The sequence below is a fragment of the Homo sapiens genome, chromosome 2, assembly GCF_000001405.40.
Source record: "Homo sapiens chromosome 2, GRCh38.p14 Primary Assembly".
Taxonomy (NCBI): Eukaryota; Metazoa; Chordata; class Mammalia; order Primates; family Hominidae; genus Homo; species Homo sapiens.
Window position 1 is genome coordinate 111,265,207 of NC_000002.12, and position 27,247 is coordinate 111,292,453.

General features: G+C 46.8%; 2 long non-coding RNA genes across 14 annotated transcripts in view; one reads left to right on the forward strand and one right to left on the reverse strand.

Moving 5' to 3' along the window:
* MIR4435-2HG (MIR4435-2 host gene) overlaps positions 1-27,247 on the reverse strand; it is a 299,296-nt gene that overhangs the window by 69,341 nt on the left and 202,708 nt on the right. The gene's annotated exons all lie outside the window — the stretch shown is intronic.
* LOC101927283 (uncharacterized) lies at positions 172-25,978 on the forward strand. Of its 7 annotated transcripts, none has more exons than XR_923196.4 (5): positions 172-257; positions 1,227-1,324; positions 10,568-14,703; positions 17,774-21,065; positions 23,833-25,978. It is a non-coding gene; the product is annotated as an uncharacterized LOC101927283 (long non-coding RNA). The 7 variants fall into 7 exon arrangements; XR_007087187.1 differs by having other exon boundaries at positions 20,974-21,065; XR_007087184.1 differs by having other exon boundaries at positions 10,568-21,065.

Consider the following 27,247-nt stretch of genomic DNA (forward strand, 5'->3'; position numbering starts at 1 on the left):
TGCGCCTGTGCTGGACCACCCCCTTTCCTCCTTCCTTCAGCTGCCCCTCTTTCTGGATGGGTAAAAGCACTTCCATGTTTTCAGAGGCGTGGAGGGAGCCCGAGAAGAGCAGATGTTGACACCACCATCACTGCCTGCAGCAGTGAGACCAGGGGCACAGTTTTTGTTGAAAGGGTCGACCAGGAAGCACTTCCTTGACTCTGTCCTAAAGCCTCTGGAGAGCCCTTAAATTTGTGGTCCTTGAAGCTATTGTAAAGGTAAGATTTTTTTTTCTCCTCAAGTCCTACCCATCCTGACTTTTCAAGTTTGTGGTGTCTCTGATAATCTCTGCTCCTGTTCTTTGAGACCATCCCCCACACTCTCCACTCTCCAACGTGACACCTGTAAAGTCTCTTCCAGGGATCTGGGGCTGCATTCCAGGGTCTCTTTGCTCTGAGCTCTCTGAGGCTTCAGACTGTTGTAATAAATCAAATGGCAGGGATCTTCTCCAACATCATCCTTCTTCCTTCTGCTTTCCTATGAGGGCTGAAATTCAATGTGTTTGCAGAGGACTCCGTGTGAGGGTCTCAAGGGAATTTCCAATTTGGCGCAAGGGAAGGAAGGGAGAGAGAGACTAAAAATTGCTTGATGGCCACCATGTGCCGGGTGCTCCCAATATAGTCTCAAACTCATGACATCTCCCAGCCAATGGATTCACCCCCTTTACCAGTTCCACCTGGAGCTCCCTCTCCCAGACAAGCAAAGGCCGTGTTGGGGGACTCTGAAGTCAGCTGCCTGCCATTCCATCTCAGGTGTTACCGTGGGAAAGTTGTTTAACCTCTCCGAGCCTCAGTTCCTTCACATGTAAAATGGACCTACAAGTTTCTCACGTAGGGTTGCCCTGGGGCCAGGATTTCCAGATAAAATATAGGATGCCTGGTATAAAAGTTGTATGGGACATACTTATACTAAAATATTATTTGTTGCTTATCTGAGATTCAAATCTAACTGGATATCCTAAATTATTATTTATTATTATTTTTGCTAAATCTGACAAACTACCTGAAGTTTAAGTGACACGTGAATGCCAAGGCCTGGCACAGGGCCTAACGCATAGGAGGGTCTCAGTGAGTGACAGCCATTGTTGTTTCTGGGAGTTTCTGGGAAAGTTATCGAGAAGACTTCAAGGGGAGATGGAGAAGTTTATGGTTTGGTTGGAAATATTGCTGATCCCTTGCAATGTGCAGGTATTATTCAGGAACAAGATGGGCAAAACATGAATAGGACAAGCTTTCTGCTCTCCAGGGACTCCCTTGAAGATGTGTCACAACCCCAAGCCAGTATGGTAAGTGTTATAAATGCAGTACATACCTGTACCAAATGCTACACAGGACAGAGAAGTCACTCACCTGCCAGGGCACTGGAGGCCAGAACTGCCAAGGAAGTGGGCAGGCCTCTCGGGCAAGCCTTTTGAATGTGGGGCTTGGTGGGGGTGGGCAAGAGGAGAGTTTGAGGTTCTCCAGGTGGTAAGATGTGCATGGTCGGCTCAGGGCTCACGGCCAGAACGAAGGCAGAGGGGAAGGTGTGAGGTGAGGCGTGTTGGTTGTCAGCGGGGCTGGGCCCATTTTTCATAGACAGTGGGAACTCAGTGTTCTAATTATTTTTTCTTTTTTCCAGTTTTTAAATATATAAAAATGTCACTAGAATGCTTTTTTCTCTGGACCTCTTTGCTTTAAATTGGACTCTTCTGGGAAGTCCAGTAGTTCAATCAAGTCCTAGGTGATGGTTTCTCTGTGTTTTCCATGCCAGCAGCCCTGATGGAGAGTGCAGAGGCTCCGAGAATCCACTCTTGCATAAAACGTTGTCCTCTCCCGCCCCACGCTTGACTTGCCGTCTGGCAGCTCTTTCTCATCTGGGCCATGTCCCGGTGGAGGGATGGGGCAGAAGAGGCCAGACAGCAGGCTGTGCCCTTGCTCCCTGCTAGCAGACGCGGCCTTGGCCTATTCTGAGCTCAGCAGTTCTGTTTCTCCTGGTTGCTGGACGCGGGCCATGGCATTTGCTGTGCACTCTGTTATCTGGAACTCTCGGCTCCCTTGGCTCACCCGTCTCCCGCCCTGCGGCATTCTGCATGGCCTGCATTTGACAGGCCCACCCCCTCATTGCCTGGGGAACCTGCCCACGTGGCATTTAATACTCATAATACTCTTGGTGTGGGGAATGGAGGACAGGGGAGGGTACATAGTGACACAGAGCAGACATTATGAGGGAAACTTTGATATATAAGTAAGTGGACAAGGGAGTGTGCAAATATGATCATACACATGTGAGCCATATTTATGTAATCCCATATACACATACATAAGCATGCATGCACACTCACAAGGTGGATGGATTACTGTGATTACCACTCAAGAACCATTTTGGAAAAACCTCTCAAATCATGTTTTTCCTCTGCTCTCACACTGCAACAGCAATCAACAACAGAAGAAGGCTTCTGTGACCAAATGTGTGGGGATTTTCCCCACACACCAAGCAGTGGACACCAGCTGGGTGTCCTCCAATTCCCTTCCATCACTGCCTACCAGGAGATAGCATCAGATCCCACAACTTAAGAGCTCAGTCCCACAAGACTGCCTCCCACTTTCCACCAGTCTCAAGTCCAGGTCTTTGGAACTTCTGACTGACCCACTTCAAGCTGGGGTTCCCAAGACCCCCTCTTTGGGTTCCATTTGCTAGAGTAGCTCACAGAACTTGGGTAAACACTTAACAATTATAGGTTTGTTAGAAAGATATTTTAAAGGATACAAATAAACAGCCAGATGAAGAGATACACAGGGCAAGGTCTGGAAGAGTCCGGTCCTCGTGGAGCTGGGGCAGCCACCCACTCGGCACATGGATGACTACTCCACCTTCCTGTCTGTCTCCACGTGCTCAGCTCTCTGAACACTGTCCTCTTGGGTTTTCTCTCCCTTCCTTCCTGCCTTCCTTCCTTCCTTCCTCTTTCCTTCTTCTTTCCTTTTCCCTTCCTTTCGTTTCCTTTTCTTTTTTCTTTTCCTTTCTCTTTCTTTCTTTTTCTTTTCTTTCCTTCTTTCCTTCCTTCCTCCTTTCTTTTCCTGTCCTTTCCTTCCTTTTATTTTCCTTTCCTTTTCTTTCTCTTTCTCTTTCTCTCTTTCTTTCTTTATTTCTCTCTCTCTCTCTTGCTCTGTCACTCAGGCTGGAGTGCAGTGGCACAATCTCAGCTCACTGCAACCCCCACCTCCCAGGTTCAAGCGATCCTCCTGAGCAGCTGGGACCACAGGCACAAGCCATCATGCCCAGCTAATTTTTGTATTTCTTTTGGTGGAGATGGGGTTTTGCCATGTTGCCCAGGTTGGTCTTGAACTCCTGGGCTAAAGTGATCCACCCACCTTGGCCTCCCAAAGTGCCGGGATTACTGGTGTGAGCCAACATACCTGGCCCGTCTTGGGTTTTTATGGAGCCTTCATTACATGGCATGACTGACAACCATGTAGAAATGTGATTGGGCAAAAAGAACACAATCTAAACCCAGCAAGACCTGCCCGTTCAGACTTTTCCTAGCCTCTCTGTGCAGCATTTCTTCCTTTAGGGGCTGGGGCAGGACCTGCTCTGAAATGAAGGTCTTTTGACCCACAATCGGATTAGAGTCCCGCCTTGGGCAGGAGAAAGGAGAACAGGAAAAACTCAGAGAGAGGGACGTTGTCTCCTGAGGCCTAACGCTCCCAACATTATAACAAGGACTATGAGAGTGATGAGCCAGGAACCATGAATGAAAACCTATGCATATGTATCATAACACCACAGGCACATAAGCAGAGAGAAAAATGCCTAGAAAGATATTGAAAATATATCCAATAAGGTATAAATGTAAATAGCAGTGGTTAGATTATGAGTGACTTTAATTTTCCCTTCCAATTTAGCTGTATTTTCTAGTTTTTCTGAAATGAATATGTATTATACAATAAAAAGTAATACAAAAAGAAAAAACAAGTTATTTTCTACAGTATCTCATAGAAATCAGAGCACTGCTTTTGTGAGCATAATTTTGTCAGTGAGCCCAAGGGGGTGGCATGAGAGTGTGAAGTGGGGTCTGCAGCAGGCAGCATGGCCACTTGCTGGCTGGTCTCCACCAGCCCTTCATCTCTCTTGGCAGCTGGTCTGGAGTCTAAACTAGGCCCTGCATTGAACTCTGTGGCCCTCAGTCTCCTCCACGTAAAATGAGAGGATTCAGCTAACATCCCAGGGATGGCAAATCAGAGATGGTATGTGAGCTGAAACTTCTCACTGATTCCTTGGGAAAGATCCAGGTTCCTCATGAAAGACGGCCGTAATTGATTATGATATCTGCTATGGCAACCCAGGGCAAGGGGTGCCACCAACCCTCCCAGCTCAGCAGGCAGCAGCAGCCCCGCCCTCCTGGGCTCCCCTGACCTTCCTTCAGTGCCTCAATTATAGCTGTCATTGTGTTTAGCAATTATACAGTGGGAGTTCTGTTGTGTTTATTTTTAAATTGCCAATACCAGACATAGGAATAAATGAATGATGAATGGATTACTCAGAAAACAATTACTAAATGTGAACGCAATTGCTAAACAAAGGTGTGCAGTTTTCCAAGGTACTGGAGGTCTTTGTTTAGACACATCAATTCTGCTTTATTACTTTACCATCTAAAGCATGCCAGGTTGTAAATGACAGTGTAAATCTCCATGACAATGTCAATGTCAATGTCAATGTAAATCTCCATGACAATGTCAATGTCAATGTCAATGTCAATGTAAATCTCCATGACAGTGCTGTCATGGAGACAGCACTGGCTGCCAGTCTGCCATTCATCTTTACCATGTTTGGACTCTCCTTTTATGGTGTAGTGGGTAGAGCACCATGAAGTGTGTGGATCCAGGCTGCGCCCCCTTTTGGCTGGGTTATCTTCAGCACATCACTTTAACTTCCTTGGGCCTCAGGCTTTCTTGTTTATCAAGGTCCCTTCTGGCTTCAGAAACTCCATGCCCTTGAGTTGGCTCTCAGCCTCTGCAGAACTCAGATTGGGGCTATTCTGATGGGAGGTCATTTGTACCTGAAAATTCGAGCAGACTTTGGAGACCCTCACGTCCTACTCTTCCTCCCACATCTTGCACTCATCTTTTCCAAGGAGACTTCTGCCATGCCAGATCTGGAGGTGTCCGCCTCCCTTCTCCTCCCCTCCCTTCCCTCTCACTCTCCCCAGTATCTGTCCTTTTCTCCTCTTTCCTTTTACCTATGGCCCTACTCCACCCTGCCAAGGGCCCCCATGTGCCTTCCTCTCCTCCAGTCCCAGTGGGGAGTTATTCTTGTCCTTCTACCTGTTCCAGCAGGGTCCTCCAGAATCCTATCCCCATACCACCTCATCTCCTCAGGCCCCCCAACAAAGGTGCTCTGAGCTGACTCCTTATCATGGTAGCCGGTTGTGGCACCTCTCCCTCTGCTGAGGGACAGGCACCTGGATACTGTCTGGTTGAGAAAAAACAGCCCTGTCCAGCAGCTCCAACTACTGTCTTCCAGTGTCTGATGCACGATGATGGGAACTGAGCCATGTGCAGTGGCCAAGAGCTTCTCATATTCACAGGCTGTACCCGAACTATCCACCCAGGACTGCAGAGGCCTCCTCAGAGGCTGCCACCTGGCCCCCACCCCAGCTTAGCTGGCCTCATGTTTGTTAGAGGTGTTTCCACATGACAGTGGCATTCTTTTTTTAAGATTTTCTTTTTCTTGAGATGGAGTCTTGCTCTGTTGCCCGGGCTGGAGTGCAACGGCGCAATCTCGGCTCACGCTCACTGCAACCTCTGCCTCCCAGGTTCAAGCAATTCTCCTGCCTCAGCCTCTTGAGTAGCTGGGATTATAGGCATGCTCCAACATGCCTGGCTAGTTTTGTATTTTTAGTAGAGTTGGGTTTCACCATTTTGGCCAGGCTAGTCTCGAACTCCTGATCTCAGGTGATCCACCCGTCTCGGCCTCCCAAATTTCTGGGATTACAGGTGCCCAGCATAAAATAGATTTTCAAGACCCTCAAGGATGCTGGGGCAGGTTCAGCAGCTGGGCGACCAATATCCTTTCTAGGCTCCTCCTGAGAAGTGGCTAAGCCTCCAGCCTGCAGGGTGGTGTGAGTAAATGGGAGCTGGCAGGTGGGCACAGGGCTCCCAATCCCCCTAAATCCTGAGCAGGAGGGGATCCCAGAGACAGAGGGAACACAATGAGCACCCACCTGGCCCGGGACACAGAAGCTTCTAGAAGAGCAGAAAATATGGCCCAGCACATGGCATTGTTTGGAGGCAATGAGAAAGCCCTGTCATGTGCCCACCTCCACCTACTGTCTTGGACCTTCCTGAGACATGGAGACTGGAAAGCCTTGTGGGCACGGTACGGATTTTTAAGTGGCTTGAGCGGGCAGGAGGCCCAGGGTTGTTGGGGAGGCCTCTTCCCCATTGGCGCTGGGCCCTTCATCAGCGATTCTGCTCCCCAGCAGAAAATGACCAGGGGCTCCCTCCCCACACTGGTGGCGTCTGTGGCTGTGCTGGAGACAAGTTGAAGGAGCCACGCCTTGCATCCCTGGAGCCTGACTGTGCCCAAAGGTCCTCCCAGCCTTGCTCTGAACTGGCTCACCACTCAAACCTGCATTACTCACAGGCCGTGCCATCCCCTCTGCCTGGGACAGGAAGCAGAGCCTCCCTGCCATCATCAGCTGATTGCCAAGCGCCAGACCTGAGCCTGACCCAAGTGTTGCCATAACACAGGGGCTGTGGCTGTGCCCTTGTCCCAGAGGAAGAAGATGAGGCCTTGACAGGCAGGCGATGGGTCCAAGGCCACACCACTGGTGGGTTGCAGGGCAAGGCTGGAACCCAGGTCTTGCTGATTCAGATCAGAAGTTAACGCCTACACTGACCAGAGTCAAACACAGAGCTGGTATGTCTCATAGAAAAGGCACAGATTCCTTGTCATTACAAACACTCTGGTTAATGCTCAGATTTTTGATATATCCTGCATGAACCATTTCAGCTCAAGGAACCATGAGTCCAGTGTTAAAAATTATGCAGGAATAAGAGTGACAGATTCTAGACCAAAGACCTGGATTTTAGTTGACTGATTTGCCTTTAGGTGTGGGCCCTTTGGTGTTATTAATGGGGGTGTCTCACATTGGGACTAGAAGGGTGGGCTTTGGAGTCTGCCCAGACTCTTCTAGGCCTCTGTCTTCTTCTGGGAGAGAGGAAAAAGTAGCATCAGTGCTCTCATCGGGTGAGGAGGAAATGAGCAAATGTGTGTGAGATGCTCAGGCCTGCCCAGGATGGACTATGGCTGTTAATATTATTAGTAGTATTAAATGCAATGGCCTGAGGCCAATCACTTAACCTCCATAAGCTTCCATTTCCTCATCTGCAAAATAGGGAAAGAAAAATTGCTGCTGCACTTGATTGCTGTGAGGTTCAAAAGGAAAACCTCTGTATGCTGTAAATAATTACACCAGCCCTTGCAACCAATTAAAATCTTCTCCCTGCTTTAAATGGCTTGATTAGACACTCACTGTTTTCCAAGGCTGAGCATTATTGGGCATTGGCGTGTAGTTTTTAAAGGAAGTGTCTGGACAATTGTGTCTGAGAATGCAGTCTCCTCTCACTCTCAGCTCCTCGGAGTTGGTCTCCTTCTCATGGGCTACATAGTGCATTGTGACCAATGGAGAATACACACCTTTGGGAGAATTTGCGGGCAGGGCCATTTTCAGCCAGTACGATGTCTTTGTGCAAATACAGAAGGGACCTCCTTCCCTGGGACATACAGAGAACATGGGCATGCATGCAAGCTGGATTTCAGCGCCCTCCTACCCCACTGACCATCTCCCTCCTGTGAATGGCAGCCCTGTGTGCACATAATCTGCACCTAGGTTGCAAACTTCAGTGTCCTTGGGGACAGGCAGACGGTGTCAGTGGACGTGAGTGAAGTCACCTGGGTGTGAGGCAGTAGGAAGGGTGGGGACTACAGCCAACTGAAGCGCCCAGTCCAGGAGTTGTGGGAGCAGCTGTGACCAGCTCCAGGTGGCACTGCCAGGTGCAGGTCCAGGAAGGCCAGGCCTTTCCATTTATCTAGAGAAACCTAGATATCTATATAAAGTTTTCCTGCTTTTGAAAATTACTGTGCACGTCAGAAAAACACATCTTCGGGTGGAATATCGTGTGTGGGTCACAGCTGCCCACCTGCTCTATGCAAAGCCCAGTCACAATCTGAATCCTGACACCAGTGAGAGGGGGGGTGCCTCCCTCTTCCCCTCCTTTCTCCTTGTCTTCTCGCCTTCCTTTCCCTCCTTGACCACCTCCTCTGACCCAACCCCAAGGCCTGTGGGCTTCCCTCTCCCTGCCTCAGTTCTCTCTGTTCATGGCCTCCCCTCGGACAACCACACCACCTATCGAAAAACTCTTTGCCCACATCCTCCCTCTTTCCGCCAGATGCTCTCAACCCCCACCCAGCATTAGATCGCTCCCTCCTGACTGCCAGCTCCTTGAAGCCAAGAGACCTTGCCTGACGTGGAATCTGTTAGTTTAAGATATTTCTCTATGAGCAGATCCAAACTCCTCAGCCTGCTCTCTGTGACCCACCTCCCACTGTCTCCCAGGACCCTGGAGCACCTGCTCACTGCTCTCATTGAAGTTATTCTCTGAGCAAAGCCTGACCGTCTTGCTTCTGTGCCTTCATTTTAGTTGTGCTCATTACCTATGATTCCCTTCTTCTCTTGTCGACCAGCCCTGCAAAACTTAACATTTAATTGCCTTAATTCTTCCACTGAATGTCCATGAACAACCTGGCTTCCCTTTCCCAGAATCCTGCTGTTGAGAGAAGGATTCAGGATTGGACCCCAGGAATTTCTTACAGTGGCAGTTATTACCTCTCCAGGGACATAGCCTTTTACCAACTGGAAGTTGCTGGGTGCAGCAGACAGATTTGCATTCTTTGTAGTACTTTGTAGTACTATTTGTCCTGCATACAGCCAGTGGTCACCAAGAACTTAATTCTCACCTAGTGATTTCCATCATTTTTTCTTTCAAGTATCTAGAGGGCCCAAAGTAGCAGCTATGTTTCCTAAATTCAGGAAGCACCACTCCTCTCTGTTGTCTCTTATCCCATATCCTCCGGTGCTGTGTTTCCACGGGATCTTTCCTGGGTGTGCAGGAGGAGCCACGGACTTACCCTTGGGGGGTGAGTGTGGCCTTGTGTTTTGCTGTTGTTTTTGAGTATGCAAGTTCCTGTTCAAGAAAAGACCTTTCCAAAACAACCAGGTGTGCCAAGACCGTGCTGGACACACCAGCTAGCTGCTTGCACACCCATCAGGCCACTGCTGCAGCTACTGCCCCGGGGATACCCGGGCAACCAATACCAACTGCCCAAAAGAGGCCAGCAGGCAAGTGGATCCCCCCACCCCCAAGTATGTCCATAGCCAGGGCCATGTTTTGGGACCCCAGAGAGAATCTCTTCCCTGGTCTTACCCTTCATTTCTCCACTCTCTGTTTTCATCTTTCCATAATCAAGTGAGGGAGTGATGAGATTGGCTCCCAGTCCCTCAGGCTTCTGCACAAGACAGGCCTGTTCCCAGGTGGCTGTTCTGCAGAAAATTCGCATCTTAAGATTGTAAAAGGTGTTACTGGAATAAAAGGATTCTGTGATCAAAGAAGTTTGGAAAACATTAACTTAAACAAAAGTTCATCAGGTTTCTTTACTGCAGGACTTCTCAGAGCCTTTAATGCACTGTGGTTCCCCAAGGGGGTGCCAGGTCACAGAGCATTTTTCAGCCTTTTGCAACTGTGAAATTCATTTGTTCAAGGGGCATCTGGAGTGGATGGTGACGAATGCACTCTGGGAGATGTGGTTGTGCAGGACACACAGCCAGCACTCAGACCCGGGCCTGCCCACAGCACTGGCTCCTCATGTGGCCAGGCCCTCTGCCCCTCACTGAGCCTTGCCGGCTTTGCTGTAATTGTATTCCCATATGTGTCCCGTCTGGCTTGATACAACTCTGGCCACCGACTTCCGGAATATTCCAAGGCCTAGCCCAGGCCTGTGTGTCCTGAGATTACCTCTCGTTGCTGGCAGCCATCTCTATGAATTCAGGAACGAAAATCACAAAGCCAGTGGCAGGGCTGGCAGGCCTGACAAGTCGGTAGGGACCATGCTTTGCCCTTTGTCTGCCCCATGCTCCTGGCTCGGCCAGGAGGCCTCAGGGATCTAGGAATCCAGTCTCTCTGGGTTCACACCACCAGACATTCAAAGCAGAACAAAACACAGTTTCACAATGACTTCGAGAAGTCTGACACGGGTGGACCTTAAATTGCCACCCCATGATTTTAACTATTATTTTCTTTGATTCTAAGATGTCATCAATTGTACGACACACCATTGTTTTAAGAACAGCTTGTAGGGGGTGAACAAAAATGAAAGAAAAAAGAAACACCACATGTAGTGTACCGACTAATTGTAAGACACATCCTGATTTCAGAATAATTAAAATTTGAACAATTGTGTGCCTTGGAATTGAGGAAATACACTATTTCTACAGGTCGGGGTTGGCTTCCTTTTTCATTGCTGCTGAGGAAGCTGAGATGCAGGCTCCAAGCAAGAAGTCAGGAGACTGGGGTGCTGGGCAGGTGTTTGATCTCAAAAAGAAGTCATTGAAGTAGCATGTGGTCAAGCCTGTGCCAGGTTAGGAGGTGCTGGGGTGAAGCTTGCCCTGCCTTTACCCTCTAGTGTGTGGCTGTTTATCCTGTCAAGAGGTAACGTGTCTCCTACAGCTTCCCAGAAGGCAAGGTGGTGTGTGCGCCTGTGTTTTGTAGCTGTCAGAAATAGCTGGACCATTCAAGTGTATGTGAAACCAGCTCTGTAAGCTGTGAAATGGAGCATCATTCTTTTTTTTTCTGCAATGGCATAAACATCGCCACTAATTCCTAAAGATACAATGAAAACAGAAATGTATTAAGAGTATTTTGGAATGACTCTGAGCTGATGACAACCCTTCACTAGCTCACATCATAGGGGGACTCACTCACCTCTTCTTCATCCAAGGAATCCCACCTCCTGCTTCCTGGGTGGAGTTTCCTGGGTGAACCCCAGGAGGAGGGAATCTCCACCGAGGTGGTGATGTTTGAGCTGGTTCTTAGAAAACAGGGGCAATGATGGGGCAGAAGATATTCAACAGAGGAACTGGGGCTGGAGATAAATTGAGGAGCAATGAGAAGTTTGCTGCGAGGGCACGTGAGCTGGGAGGTGGGAGGTGAAGCCCGAGCAGGATTGGAGTTAGGCTGATGGTCTATACCACCTTCTCACTGAGTGATTTTTACATCTTGTTTTCAACAAATCAGCAAAGACACTTTAAATGCTGTCATGAGCTGGCTGCAAGTGTTCAAGTGGTGCCACCAATGCTCTTGGTTGTGCCCGGATCGCGTGCTCCAGAGCAGAGCTCCTGTGCAGCCTGTTACCATGCCCCATGCCCTCCACCTCAGGAGGCTGGGCTCGGTGTTCCTCCTGCTGGCACCTGCTTCCCCCGGGCACAGGCATGGCTAATTTCACTCAGGTCTGGGCCGGCTTCCTTCCCGAACCTCTTACTGTTAAACATGCTCTCCTCATTCTGTCTCCCCTATCATGCCTGTTACCCCGTGTGACACTTGTCATTCATTTGTTTCATTTTTATAATGTGAACTCTGTGGTGGCTTTGCTCAGTCCTGTCTCCGCTGTGCTCAGAATGTGGCCTGACACTTAGCAGAGGCTCTGTGTTGATTGTTGCTATAGAATGACACTGTTCTCTGAGTTCTTCCACATGTATTACTTTGTTTGATTCTCATTCCTTTTCTGATTTGTGGATGTAAAAATTATCTAAAAGACGATAAAAGAATTACCCACGATAGTTATTGCACAAGGAGGGAGAGGGACACGCAACCCCACGCTCTCCCCGCTACAGCGTTAACCTTCAGGATGACACCACCCTCGACACTCACTTCATGATGGCCTGCACATCTGACCTTGTGCAGGAGCCCGCAGCGTGGGATTGAGCAGCCTCCTGCTCCAACCAGCTGACTGCCCCTCAGAGGGGACTGAGGTGACAAAACAGGATCCCATCATTTGGTAAACAGGACTCAAGCATGAAGTCTGAGGGGTGTGGGGAGGTGCAGGGTGGGTAGCAAATGGCTGTGAAAAGCAAGAGACTTTCCACGGGCAAAGCTAAGTCTAGATGTACCCAGATTAGCGACTTTTCCTTAAAAGGTTTTTCCAGCCAGGAGCAAGGGACTGGGTGAATCATCCCTAAGACGGGTGACAGGAGGCAGGAATAAAGCATGAATAAAGCATCAGGAAGGGACTAGGATTTAAAACTGGCCCCTCAATGCTTCTACACTGCTGGTGAGAATGTAAGTTAGTTCAGCCACTGTGGAAAGCTGTCTGGAGAGTTCTCAAATAACTTAAACTAGAACTACCATTTGACCTAGCAATCCCATTTACTGGGTATATGCCCAAAGGAATACAAAATATTCTACCATAAAGACACACACAGGCATATATTCATCACAGCACTGTTCACAATAGCAAAGACCTAGATGCCCATCGATGGTGGATTGGATAAAGAAAATGTGGTGCATATACACCATGGAATACTGTGCAGCCACAGAAACGAATGAAATCATGTCCATTACAGCAACATGGATAGAGCTGGAGGCCATTATCCTAAACAAATTAATGCAGGAACAGAAAACTAAATACTGCATGTTCTTACTTATAAGTGGGGGCTCAACATTGAGTAGACATGGACATAAAGATGGGAGCAGAGGACACTGGGGACTCCTGGTGGGGGGAGGATGGGAGGAGGGTGAAGACAGAAAAACTACCTATTGGGTATTACGCTGATTACCTGGGTGACAAAATTATTTGTATACCAAAACCCCATGATATGCAATTTACTCATGTAACAAACCTGCACACCTACCCCTTGAACCTAAAATAAAAGTTGGAAATAAAAAAAAAACTGGCTCCTCTATCTGGGCTCCTCTCCCTTCTTAAGTCCTAGGAGAGTTGGCCAACGAGGCCCTGAGTCCAGACACGCCCCACCTTGGCCCAGTGTCCACCTGCACCTGCTCACATTCCCATGTGCCACCATTCCTTGATGCAGCTCACTCTCTAGACCAGTGGCTCCCAGCCACTGGGGTGCATGAGAGTCTCCTGAGGAGCCGAGGTACATGTGTGCTCAAGTCAGCATCCAGACCCACTGGGTCCAGTCTCCAGGCTGGCCCAGTTTGAGAGGTGGGTTTAGAGAGTTTCTCTGCAATAGCACTGGGAATACCTACTGCTGATGGAGCACCTAGATGGATGCTTAGACTCAGAGGTGACTCGGAGGGCTTCACAGACATAATCATAAAGATCCTTTGAACACTGAGGCTCATGAAGGTCAAGTCACTCTCCCAAAGTCACTCAGCTGAGAATAGCACTAGGATAAGAACCCCTTATTTTATTTTATTTTTTGAGACGGAGTCTCGTTCTGTCATCCAGGCTGGAGTGCAGTAGCGCAATCGGCTCACTGCAACCTCCACCTCCCAAGTTCAAGCAATTCTCCTGCCTCAGCCTCCCGAGTAGCTGGGATTACAGGCATGTGCCACCATGCCTGGCTACTTTTTTTGTATTTTTAGTAGAGACGGGGTTTCACTATGTTGGCCAGGCTGGTCTCGAACTTCTGACCTCGTGATCCACCCGCCTTGGCCTCCCAGAGTGCTGGGATTACAGGTGCATGCCACCATGCCCGGCTACTTTTTTGTATTTTTGGTAGAGATGGGGTTTCACCATACTGGCCAGGCTGGTCTCGAACTCCTGACCTCATGATCGGCCCACCTCAGCCTCCCAAAGTGCTAGGATTACAGGCATGAGCCACCGCGCCAGGCAAGAACCCCTTATTGACCCCTTAGACCTTCTCTCAACCATCACACCAGCTTGCCATGGAGCCCAGGCTTAATTTACCTTGGTATCCCAGCACCCCCAAGCCCAGAGAAGCACGGGGCTTGGTATATGGTGGGTGTTTGCTATAGACCAAATGTTTGTCTTCAAGTTCAGGTGTTGAAGCCTGATCCCCAGTGGGATGATACCTGGAGGTGGGACCTTTGGGAGGTGCTCGGGTCATGACAGTGGAGCCCTCACAAATAAGATTAGTACTATCATAAAAGAGACACTAAAGAGCTGCCTTGCCCCTTCCTTCAGGTGAGGACACAGCGAGGAGTAGGCTGTCTATGAACCAGGAAGTGGGCCCTCACCAGACACAGAATCTGCCAGCACCTCAATTTGGACTTCCCAGACTCCAGAACTGCAAGAAATTAATTTCTATTGCTCACAAGCCACCCAGTCTATGGTATTCTGTTACAGCAGCTGGAGCAAACTGAGACAGTACTTGACAGTGATTTTCATGAAGGTTCTCCCTTGCTCATTTTTAAGCCCACTGGTTCAGACAGAAGCCTCTGGGAGAGCCCTCCAGAGTCCACCTTGAAGGCTTCATTCCTTCTACCCAGAGCATCTCCGTGGAGAGGAAGAAAAAGCATCAATGAAATGAGGTGCCCCAGCGGTTCTGGGGAGCAATTCCTCTCTTCATATGACCATTTGGGAAACCCCCAGTGAGATGGAGTGTGCTTTTAAGCCATGAAAACCATGCACATCAGCCCCACCACAGAGGTGAGCAGAAATGTAGAATATGGTGTCTCTTTCTCCTCCTTTTATTTTCAGAGAAATAATTAGGGATTCTGTGGTAGGCAGCCTCTAAGATGGGCCCCAATGACCCCCACTCTCCCTGTATCCTCACCCTCATGTCATCCTTTCCCTGTCGGTGTGGACCAGTCTAAGTAACTTGCTTCTATGACTAGAATAGGGCAGAAGTAATGAGATGTCACATCTTCATAGGTTATAAAAAGCACTGTGGCTTCCATTTTGGGTCCTCTGTCCTACTCTCTCCAGAGTCACACGACCCCAGGGTAACCAGCCACATGTCACAAGGCAGCCTGTGGAGACGCCTAGGTGGGGAGGGACAGAACCACATGAGTGAGCTTGGAAACAGATGCCCCCATGCCAGTCAACCTTCAGATAAGACCAAAGCCTCAGGTGACAGCTTGACTGCAGCCTCATGAGCAGCCTTGAGTTACAAGCATTCAGCTAAGCCGTGTCCATATTCCTGACTCACAGAAAGTGTGAGATAACACACATTTGTTTTAAGCTGCCACGTTTTAGGGTGACATGTTACACAGCAATAGATAACTAATACAGCTTCTTAGCCTGGCAAGAAGCAGGAAGAGTTAAGGAATTAAGACAGGGTGATTCTGGTGAAGATGAGAAAGATGCAGATGTCATGGGTGAATGTCTAATACCTGAGAAATTCAGAAAAGGATTTCTAGGGCAACACAGAGTTAGAGCAGAGAAACTGAAGGCCAGGCCAGGCATGGTGTCTCATGCCTGTATTCCCAGTGCTTTGGGAGGCTGAGGCAGGAGGATCATTTTAGGCCAGGAGTTCGAGGTTACAGTGAGCTATGATCACAGCACTGTACTTCAGCCTGGAAACAAAGAAGGCCACTTCTTTGTTTCCAGACTCAAAGCAATTTATTAATACCAACTGCTTTGTCCTCTGACATTCCTGTGATTCCCACTGAGTCACACCTCTGTATTCACGGTGTTTCAGAAATTCCCCAGAATTTACACTGGCAGAGGTGAGGGCAGAGTGAGGGCCTCATTGCTCTGGACGTTGGCGGGGCTGTCCCTCTTGGGTTTATCTGATGTCCACCTTTTAATCAATAATGACTAGCCTATGACAGGGACAAGGCTCAGGTCTAATGTCTGGGCTTATTGGAAGGCTCCTGTTCCTTTTGTTGTCTCTTCCTTCCTCATTCCCAGAGCTGCTCTGAATGCAGTGGGGCACCTGCCTTATCCAGATGTGCTGCTCACAAAATGGACAGAATTCACTGCTCTCTGTGTGCTTTACAACAAAAAATGTTGATAAGTTGCTGTTGGGACCCCTTAAATACACTTCGGGTGAGCAGCGGTTTCCCCTGCCCATCCCAGGCTGGATGGAAGTCATCCCTGCGGAGGGTAAAGCTCAGCCTCAGGGGTCAATCTGGATTTCTGTGGGGGCATCTGAGGAGGCTATCAGGTTCCCCAAATGTGAATTGAGTCCTGGTTCACATCTTGGGTGCTTCACGTCGTCCCCTTCTCACCGAAGGGGAGAGACAGCTGGCTGTGGCTGGCTTCATGTCCTAATTCAACAAAAACAACGCACCTAAGAAAATGCATCTAAATACTTCACAACATTTCCTCCTCTATCTGCAGAGGTTGGAGATGAGCATAGACATTACTGATTTTTGACCCTATCAAGTGACGCCTGCTTGAGGCACCCTGCAGTACCTGCCAGTGCCTTCAGACCTGGAGCCCCCATGGAAAATTTCTGTCTTATTTCCTGCTACCACCACGATCCTTTTCTTACTTCTCAAACCCATCTAAGCCATATTGATAATATTTTGTACCATCAAATACTTTTTGTAGAAAAGCACTTTTTATAAACAAAGCACAACTAAACTCAGGGCAAGAGATGGCTGAACTCATCACCTGATAACCCTTCTTTTCCACCTCCTGCCTCCTCCTGCCTCTACCATGTTGCCTTTTCCACCTCTGTGGCTCATGACCACACAGGATGCCAGGCGAGGTCAAATACAAGGTTGCTAGGAAAAATCAGACAAGAAAATTAAGCAATGGCCAATTCTTGCCAGAAAACACTGTGATACCCCTTTGGGTTTTCATTGCAGGGGTCTTGAGGGCCACCCACACAGGTGACTTAAATCTTTCACTCTCTTATCAGTCTCTTGGGAGAGAATGTGGATCCACTGGAGTGGATGTAGGCCAACCCTCTTCTAGAGAAAAGTACAGCCACACTGGATGGTCATTATCATGGTCCCCAAAGCCTCCATAGCTGGTCTCCCTGCACCGATCGTGTGTTTTACACCCGGTCTCCACCACTCAATGTACCACATAGGGGTTCATTGCATCTGTCACCCCCTGTGTTTTGTCCTTCCTTGTCATCCTGGGGCTCCTGTGGTGCTGGTTGGTGTAGATTGTCACTAGCAAGCAAGAAGGCCCCCCCACCCTACTTCTGTCCTGGGGTCACAGCCTGGCTGGCATTTAGGGCACTTAACTCTTCCAATGAATCATATTCTCCACTCCTGCACATAACTTCCTAGCATGTCTCAGGAGACATGCTGAACTCTCAGTAAACTGCTTTCGGAGAATTATTTAAACACATGAATAAGGATAGAGAGAAATATAACAAATGTCATACGCCCACATGGCTTTATCAGATCTTAATATTTTGCCATATTTGTTTCAAGCCTTTAGAAAAAAACACATAAAACATTACAGACACAGATGAAGGCCTCCTTGATCTCATTCCCTTTCCCTACTCCTCAGAGATGCCACAACCTTAAATTTACTGTGTATTAATCTCAAGCCTGTTTTTTAGATTTTCCTACAGTATTCATTCCTAAGTAATATAAAGTATTGGTTTGTAAGTTTTCCATTTTATGGAAATCTGTCCTGTTGTATCTATCTTCCTGAAACTCATGATTGTTTTTAGATTTATCCATGCAGATACCTGTTGCTCTAACTCCTTTAACTGCTGTATAATACTCAGTCATATGAACCTTATCAGAATTAATTTGTCTATTTTCTGCTGATTGTTTTTCAGTTCCTTTTCAATTTTTCACTACAGATAATGATGCAGTGAATATTTGTGCACATGTGTGAGAGGTTCTCCAGTCTGGATCCATGCTCTACATCCTCACCAGCCCAGTATGAGTTTCTTATGTTTGCCTTTTGTGTCAACACTTGGTAGTGGCAGACAAATGTTTTGGCCAGTCTGATGTGTTGGAGGTTCTGTAGTTGATTTTGAGTGTCAACTTGGCCGGAATGTTTCTGTGAGGGTGTTTCTGATGGGGATTTACATTGAAATTGGTGGGCTTTCAGTAAAGCAGATTGCCTTCCAGAGCCTGGGCAGGCTTCGTCCAGTCAGTTGAAGGCCTGAATAGAGTAAAAGGCTGAGCTCCCTGAACAAGAGGAAATTCTCCAGCAAACTGTTCTTGGGACTTCACCTGCAACATCAGCTCTTCCTGGGGTCTTCAGCCTGATGGCCTTTTGACTTGAGCTGTAGCATTGTCTTCTCTCCGGGTCTCCAGCCTGCCAGCCCAGCATGCAGATTTTGGACTTACCAGCTTCCATAATCATGGAAGAGATATTAACTCTCATAATCATGGAAGTTAATTTCTTAAAATAAATCTCTTTCTATATACATGTAAATCCTATTTGTTTTATTTCACTGGAGAACCCTAATACACAGGTGGCATACTTTTTTGTTTGCTTATTTCTCTGATTACTAAGAGGTAATCATCTAGTCAAATGCTCATTTGCCCTTTGAGCTGCCTTCATCCATAACTTGTTCATGTCTTTTGGTCATTTTTTCCATTGACTTGCCAGTGTTCATGTATTCTGGATTCTGGCCTTTGTCAATTATATGACTGCATTGCAAATACTGGTTTCTGGCTTGACATTTAACATTTTTTATGAATAATTTAAAAATTTTAAAATACAATCCTGCTTACTAAACCAAATAGTCTGTTAATTTTTGCATTAAGGGTCTTTTTGTATATAGTTTAAGAAAATAATTTCTTACTCTGAGTTCGTAAAGATAGTCTTCTACATCTTCTTCTAAATTATTTGAAGTTGTTGCTTTTTACACTTAGGTATGTAATCAACCAAGGATTTGTTTTTACATGTGTGTTGATATAAGGATCTAATTTTATTATTCTTGTATGGATAACCTATTTTTCCTAAGTTATTTCTTGAACGAGCCCACCCCTTCTTTTTACTAATCTGTAATGACTCTTCCGTTATATATGAAATTTCCACAGATGCATAGGTCAGTTTCTGAGTTCTCTAATTTTCTATTGATCTATTCACTATCTATATATCGATATTGTACTATGTTAAGTATTATAAATGTATAATTAGTCTTGATGATTATCAGCTTGTCAAATTTCACACACAAAAAAATCCCCTTCAAGATTTTGGATAGAATTGTAGTGAATTTAAAGAATAATTAGGAGATGATATTGACATCTTTCCTTCCTTTTTTTTTTTTTTTTTTTTTTTGAGATGGAGTCTCACACTGTCACCCAGGCTGGAGTGCAATGGCGCAATCTTGGCTCACTGCAAACTCCGCCTCCCAGGTTCAAGCGATTCTCCTGCCTCAGCCTCCCGAGTAGCTGGGATTACAGGTGCCGGCCACCAAGCCAAGCTAATTTTTTTATTTTTAATAGAGACGGGGTTTCAATATGTTGGCCAGGCTGGTCTTGAACTCCTGATCTTGTGATACGCCTGCCTCGGCCTCCCAAAGTGCTGGGATTACAGGCGTGAGCCACCGCGCCCGGCCTGACATCTTTCTTAAATCAACACTAGTTTTTCCATTTAAGAATGTGGTGAATCACTCCACTCACTAATATTTTCTTTCATGTCCCTCAGCTGTATTTCCAAGTTTCCTCTAAAACCAGCCAAATGAACCAAGAAAAATCAAAACCAAGCAACGTGCACATATTTTGTTTAATGTATGCAGAAAGATCTTATAGCTTTAGTTGAAATATAAGACTCATTCTCCTGTTATATTTTCTAATTGGTTATAATTAATACATATAAATTGTACCCAATTTTGTGTATATATATTCGTTGGACTGTATTTTCATTTGAATAGTTTATTAGAAAATTCTCTTGAATTTTCTATATAGATTATCATATTTCCTGCAGATAAAAATATTCTTGCTTCATTCTAAATTCTTATTCTCCTATTTCTTTTGCTTGTTTCATTGCCCTCAGTACGGCTTCCAGGATACTGATGAATAGACATATTGACAATGGACATCCTCGTCTTGTTACTGATATTGATGGGCATGCTTCCAAAGTTTCACCATTAATTATAATGTTTACTATACACTTTTGATAGATAACCTTTATCACATTAAGGAAGTTCCTTGCAATTGCTATTTTGAGCACTCAGCTCGCTTAAACCTCTCATGATTTTGAAATAAATTCATGTCAGGCTATAAATTTACCTCTAGATATTCTTTCTTTTTTCAACAAGGTCTCACTCTGTGGCCCAGGCTGGAGTGTAATGGCATGATAATGGCTCACTGCAACCTCCACCTCCTGGGATCAAGCAGTCCTCCCAACTCAGTCTCCCAAGTAGCTGGGACCACAGGCACCCACCACCACACCTGGCTAATTTTTTGTAGAAACAGGGTTTTGCATTGTTGCCCAGGCTGGTCTCAAACTCCTCAAATTTCTGTTGTAATTTCTTCTTCAGCCTATTAGTTACTAGGGAGTGAATTTTTTAGTTCCCACATATATGAGTTTGAGACTGTATTTTAGTATTGACTTCTAATTTAATTGGGTTGTGTTTAGAGAATATGATCTGTGTTATTTGATGATTCTAGATATTTGTTGAGTTCTTTGTGACCTAGTATGTGGTCAAATTTTTAAATAATCTGTATATCACCAACTGTTTTTAAATGATCTATGATGACCATTTATGTTTGGCCGCAAAGTTTTACACACACACACCCATTAGATAATGCTTGTTACTTTTGTTTTTCAAATCTTTTATAACCTAGTACTTTTTAAATTGCTTGATTTATCAACTTTTGATAAAGTTAAATGGGTTGTAATCTTAGACTTGTAGTTCTGTCAATTTGCTTACTATATTTTGAGGTGCGTGTATGTTAGACACATACATATACATTTGGGCCTGTGACAGCTTCTGAGTCGGTTGGTGCCTTGATTATTATATAGTCTCTCTCCTATTATAATCTGTCTGCTATTGCTAGCATTTAAATAGTGTATATTTTTCCATTCCTTTATTTTCAGCCTGTGTGATTTCATCTTAGATGGTATCTTGGAAGCAAGACCTACCTGGACTTTTTAGAAATCTAATCTAATCATTTTCTGTCTTGGAGTAGGTAAGTTCCCATTTGCTGTCATTACAGACATACTTCAATTTGTTATTATTTTGCTACCATGTGTTTTGGGTTTTTGGGGGGGGGGGGTTTGGGTTTTTTTGAGACAGAGTCTTGCTCTGTCACCCAGGCTGGAATGCAGTGGTGCAATCTCAGCTCACCGCAACCTCCACCTCCCGGGTTTAAGTGATTGTCTGGGCTCAGCCTCCCTAGTAGCTGGGATTACAAGTGCCCACCACCACGCCCAGCTAATTTTTGTATTTTTAGTAGAGATAGGGTTTCTTCATGTTGGCCAGACTGGTCTCGAACTCCTGACCTCAGATGACCTGCCTGCCTCAGCCTCCCAAAGTGCTGGGATTACGGGTGTGAGCCACCACACCTGGACGTGTTTTGTTTTTAAATTCTCTTTTTTCATCTTTCCTGCCTTTTTCTATTATTCTGTGACCTAATGAGTAATGGAGGGAGCCCCATGAAGAGTGGAGTCTGCCTTCAGGAGCAGACTCTGCCTGGCATCCCAGAGGAGTCTGTGTCTTGAAGCAGTCAGTGCTCCCAGGGCTGAGCCGCTGGCCCTGAACAACCATTCCTTGAATAAAGAAATAAAGAGTGAGGCTAACTCAAGACCCATCCTGGCTCCATAACTCTATTTCCAAAGTCTTTTTTTTTTTTTTTTTTTTTTGCTTAACATTGCAGGGCACCTGCTCTATGCTCACTGCTGGGATCACACAGGGGAATGAGTAGAGCTCTCCCTGGCCTCAGACACCCCCACTTAGTGAGAAGGTTACCTGTGGGGACAACTCCCTTGCCAGGTGATAATAGCTATGATGGAAGCACCCACAGAATGTTTGAAAAGATTTGGCAAAAGTGGGGCCACAGTGTTGCCTTTGGCAACAGCTAGGTGAAGCTGATCAGCAGCCATCCCTTTGGGTAGGTCCATGCTCCATTTCTCCACTGTCCTCACCAAGGCCAGACTAGGTCAGGCAAACAAGGCCCAAGAAGCCAACTTTAAGGAGGCACTCATCTCCCATTGCTAGCCTTGTACTTGCAAAGCCCCAAGAGTGAGTGCTTCCTTAAAACATGCATCCTGGGCACCTTCCTAGCCTTGCCCTAGCCCTAGTCCTGACCCTGGTCTCCAACACTCCCTACTGCCTCCCCAACAGTGAGGCCATGTATAAATGGTCACATCCTGCTTGCTCTGTTGTTTGTCTACTGCTAGAGTTAAGAGGAATGTGAATTTTCTGGTATGCTTGTCTCCATCAAAACTGAGTAAACAAAATATAAACCAAAAAGAGTCCTGGACTTCACCTGCCTGATTCACCTATTACATTCCCCATGGTCTTGAGTTTGAGAACCTGAGGTTCTCAGCCTGATTGCAAGGTCCTTGAGTGCCAAGGGCAAATGTCCCATAGTAGGAACTTTAGTCAGAGGAGCAATGGGAACAAATGTCTTTTAGAAAAATAACCCTTGCTTTGGTGGTCTGAGAGCTGATGTGGACTGAGAAATTGAGAGTCTCCTGCAAAGGTGAGGGCATAGAGAGGGGAGGGTGAGGGCAGCTGTGCTCACTGCAGGAGTCAAAACAAGGTTGGATGAGGTAGGACTTAAGAATTACTAGATGGCTCTATCAAGACTTCCTGGTCAGTGGTGAGGCTTTAAACAAGAAAGGAGTACGGAAGAAAGTGGACATTTGCTTTGGGTAAGCTGAGTTTGAAGTCAGGACATCAGAGTACACCGGCATCACAAGGACCATTGCTGAGAGGACTCCCACCACCATACAGACCCCTCCCTCCACTCTGGGCTCTCTCCAGGGCAGGAGTCCCACATGGCTTCTCAAGTGTGCCTCTGCTGGAGCCCAGCATAAAATATCCCCCAGCCGGGCAGCCAGGTTAACTTATTGTTAGCAGGCTGAAAAGGAGGCTGTTATTTCACAGCAGAGATAAAAGTTAATCACAGATTAGGACTGCCCAGAAAATATTGATGACTTCATCCACCTGAGTACTAGCCTGGGGGAAGTGTTCACCACTCCTTAGTTGTCAGACCAGTCCAGCCAGTTCCCTGACTCCCTCTTTAAAATGCAGGCCCAGACTTTAACAAAAGCCTGGACCCATGAATAGACAGCATTCATACGCGGGTTCTGAGTCATCCTGCAGACCTACTGCGTGCCCTGCCTTCTAGACTTCTGATTGGAGAAGGTCTCCGCTTACCTTCCGCCCTGCCTTGCCACTGGACCCTCCCTCCCACCCTCCCTCTCTCATTACAACTTTTATCTGGCGGCACCATCACCCTGGGAGACTCCAAAACAGAAAACCAGACAGACAGTGGTTACAGAATAAAAGACCTGTGTTTGCAGGTAAGGGGATTTCTCCATTCTGACCATCCAGATTGAGGACTAGAGAATCTATCTCTTTGGGTAAGATGAAAATGGATGAAATTCAAGCTGTGTTTGAAATAAAGATTTCATAAGTTATTATTGTTGGTTCCAAAGTATTAGGCAAAAACTGCAGGGGTACCTGGGGAGCCCACAGAGCAGGACACAGGAAGCAGAAACCTCTCTTAGGATGGTACAGGCAAGGGCACCAACTCTGTCCTCCTGAACTGGAGGATCACCTTCACACATTAAAGTTGTGAGCTCAGCTGGGTAAAATGCACACTACACAGATACCCCTGAAGCATGCGACATTCCCCAACACCCCCAGCTTTGGCTGTAACAGAACTAGTGTGGATGCCAAAACAAGATGCCCCACATGGTTAAAGAATCTGACGACTCTTTTTGTAGAGGAGTAGTCGACTATGTCGTTGTTATTCCCAAAGATGGAAGACAGAATCATCAGAAATTACAGTGACAGGGGTTTCTGCTCGGTAGTATGCCGAAAAGGTAAGGTCCAAACCCTCAGTCTCGCTTTCAAGGCCCTCCATGACCCGCAACTCCCCTCCTCCTCCTCCTTTTCTTTTCTAAGCTTTTTCTTATTATTGCCCTGCCCAGGGCCTGCACCCACCAACTGTTCCTAGTATCATTGGTTGATGATACCATGAACGATGAACCGTGGGGCTGGCCTTCTCTCCAGCTCAGAACACACTTGCTTTAGCTCAAGACTGTCCAACCCAAGCCCGCAGGATGCACGTGGCCCAGGACAGCTTTGAATGTGGGCCAACATAAATTCATAAATTTTCTTAAAGCATTATGAGACTTTTTGCTATTATTTTTGTTGTTCTTCATCAGCTAACATTAGTGTTAGTGTATTTTACGTGTGGCTCAAGACACTTCTTCTTCCAATGTGGCCCAGTGAAACCAAAAGGTTGGACATCCCTGCAGTCTTTATGCTCGTCTAAATGTCCACTTCCTTCAGGCCCCAATGTGTCCCAGCTCCTCTAAGAAGCCTTCCTTGGGTTCCCACTCCCTTGGAACTTTTCTCTTCTGACCCCTCCCCTAGCCTACGTTGGTCCCCCACTCACTCATCCTCTGGGCCAGTCATTTGGCACACAGTACACGTTGTGTTTCTGTGGAAGCCCTATGGGGAGAGAATGGGTTGTGGGGGCCAGGATCTGGAAGCTTCCAGTGGATGAAGAGGATGTCAGTGCTACTACCAGGTAGGAAGGCTCCGGATTACTAAGAACCAAAGAGGTGGTGTTCCAGGGGTCAAGGAGAGAGAGAGCCCAGAGTGTGCAGGCCACTCAGAATACGCAGGGGAAGAGCAGGATTTGATTCAGGAGCCGGTGGGACCCCAGGAGAAGACAGGGAGACTAAACTGTCACCCTCCACCACAGGGAGTTGAAAGGCACAAGTGCGGACAAGAGGATCAATCAAAGCTCCGTTCTGTTCCCAATCCTTCCAGTCCCGATGCTCCAGAGAGCAGGGGAGGCACCTGTACACAGGTACTGGGCATGATTGATGAGGCAGTGCCCAGGAGCCCAACTTCCTCGAAGCGAGAGAAAGGACAGAGATGCTAAGATCTGCACACTTCCACATTTTAGAGAATTTGGGAGACCCATGTTGGATGTGGACCGTGGTTCTTATTTGTATTATTTTCTGAGTGGTAGATGTGCTTAATCCCAGCACCTGCCTAAACTGATGACAACAGCGGCTTTCCTACTGGAAGGACATTGCCACTTGATAGCATATGCTGTACCTCGCTTGCATGTCCCTGCTTCCAAGCTTTGGGGATTTCTAGGATTGTTTTCTCCTAGTTTCCTTGTGTCACGTGGGCTCCTTTATAAAATATCCCCATATAATAGTGCATGATGTGCTCTATTACAAAACACAGATGTGTCTGTCCAAGACAGCCTGGGGGCAGCGAGCTGGGGCGTGGCAAGGAGACGAACTGGAATGACGGGAGAGCCCTAGTGGATGCACAGTGCACCGCTCTTACACCACAAGCCTCCCGCCCCAGCATGATTTAACCCGTGAAGAAAGCAGAGCATTTAATATGTTCTACAGATGTTTTAAAAAAAGAATAACGGCGCTTGTCCCAAGTGTGGGATGGAGGCACACACTCTTCTGAGATGTGAAGCAAATTTCATATCTCAAAAGAGAAAAAGGACAACAGTTCCTGCTCAGTCACCAAGTCTGATTCTCAACCCTGGAACGCCTCAGCCTGCCTGAGCCCAGAAATGAGGCTCCTTGTGAACACTATGGAAATGCAATGGCTGTTTTGATTTTCCATAACGGACAGCACACTGGTCCGGGAGGCATATCCAATCTAAATGAACTAGCATCTGTGAAACTTCCTAGCACAGTCCCAGCACATCGCAGGAGCTGAACTAATGTTCTTTTCCCTTCCCAAGGAACCCTGAAGCCTTTGAAGGAACCGTGATTGGGAAGGCATCAACATTTGCTTTTCGCTGGTATAAATTTGGACCACTGGTCTGCCCGGGGTGTCCCCTGCCAGTGGTCGTGGACTGCTAGGGAAGCACAGCACACCCCCCAACACCCCCCCGCAAGGAAGACCCTTCATTGCCCACCAATGTCCTCTTTCTGGCGTCCCTCACATTCCTGGCCGAGACCCTCCCTTCAGTCACGCCATGAGGTCAGGGCCACGGTTGCCATTGTCTGCTGGAAGCCAGTGCAGCACTTGGAGCTTAGAAGATGCACACAACTCTTTGTTAAAGAACAAAGAAATGGGAGAAATTTTTTAAAAGAAAATAAACAGAGAGAAAGAGGGTGAGACGAAGACTGTGGCTGAGGCTTTGTTTTCAGGCCGAAAGCAGGACACTCAGCTCATTCTCAATGAAACTTCAACATCGATAATTCAAATGTCTTAGAAATTGTACATTGGAAGGGGAAATAAAATGATTTTTCAGCTCTTTTAGGCTTACAGATACCTAAATGAAGCATAGATTGTAGAATGTTGTTCAGAAGGGAATTAAATTTGGATTTCATCCTTCCCAGGGACTGGGGGCACTGCTTGTCACTTTGACTCAAATGGAGAGTCCCTGCCACTGCTTGCTTGCCTTCATCTGACCACAATGTGCTAAGCGCCCAGCCCCAGGGTATAGCTGAGCCCTGCACCAGCTGCAGTGAACCGCTTGGCCGGGTGCCCTCTTAGATCCTCCCTGCCCTGTTCCCTGGCTCTCTGTCCCCTGCGGTCCTCTTCTCTAGGACTGTTGAAACTTCTCCGCATCTGGTCAGCTTCACACAAAAGGGCTCCTATTTTACAGGCTGAGAGCCCCTTCCTGTGTGTTGGCAAAACTGACACATCGCATTGCTTGGGTTTAATCTTCAGGTACTTTTTCTGTTTTTTTACCTATAAAATTAGTATAAGCATATGCTCCCGTAATCAACACAATTTAGATAAAGCAAGAGTTCCTCTGGGCCCTCCCACTTCCATTTGCATTTTCTTTTCTGTGGACTAACTGGTCATCTTCTTTATCCACTTGTCTATGAGGTTGTTGATCTTGGTCTTTTTTCTTATTAACAGATAGGAGTTCTTCATAGAGCCTAGATAACAATCCAGAATTCATGTGTATACGCACGCATTTATCTATATGTATATGTATAAGCACATTACACACATACATTTGCACACATACAAATGTTAGAAATATCTTCTCCAACTCTGTTGCTTGTCTTTTATCTCAGCTTATAGAGGTTTCCGATTTTGAATCAGAAGTTTCACATTTCGTTGAAGGTAGACATCACTCTTTCTCTATTTGCTTTTGTGATTTGTGTCTTGCTCAAGGCCTTCCCTGTCCTA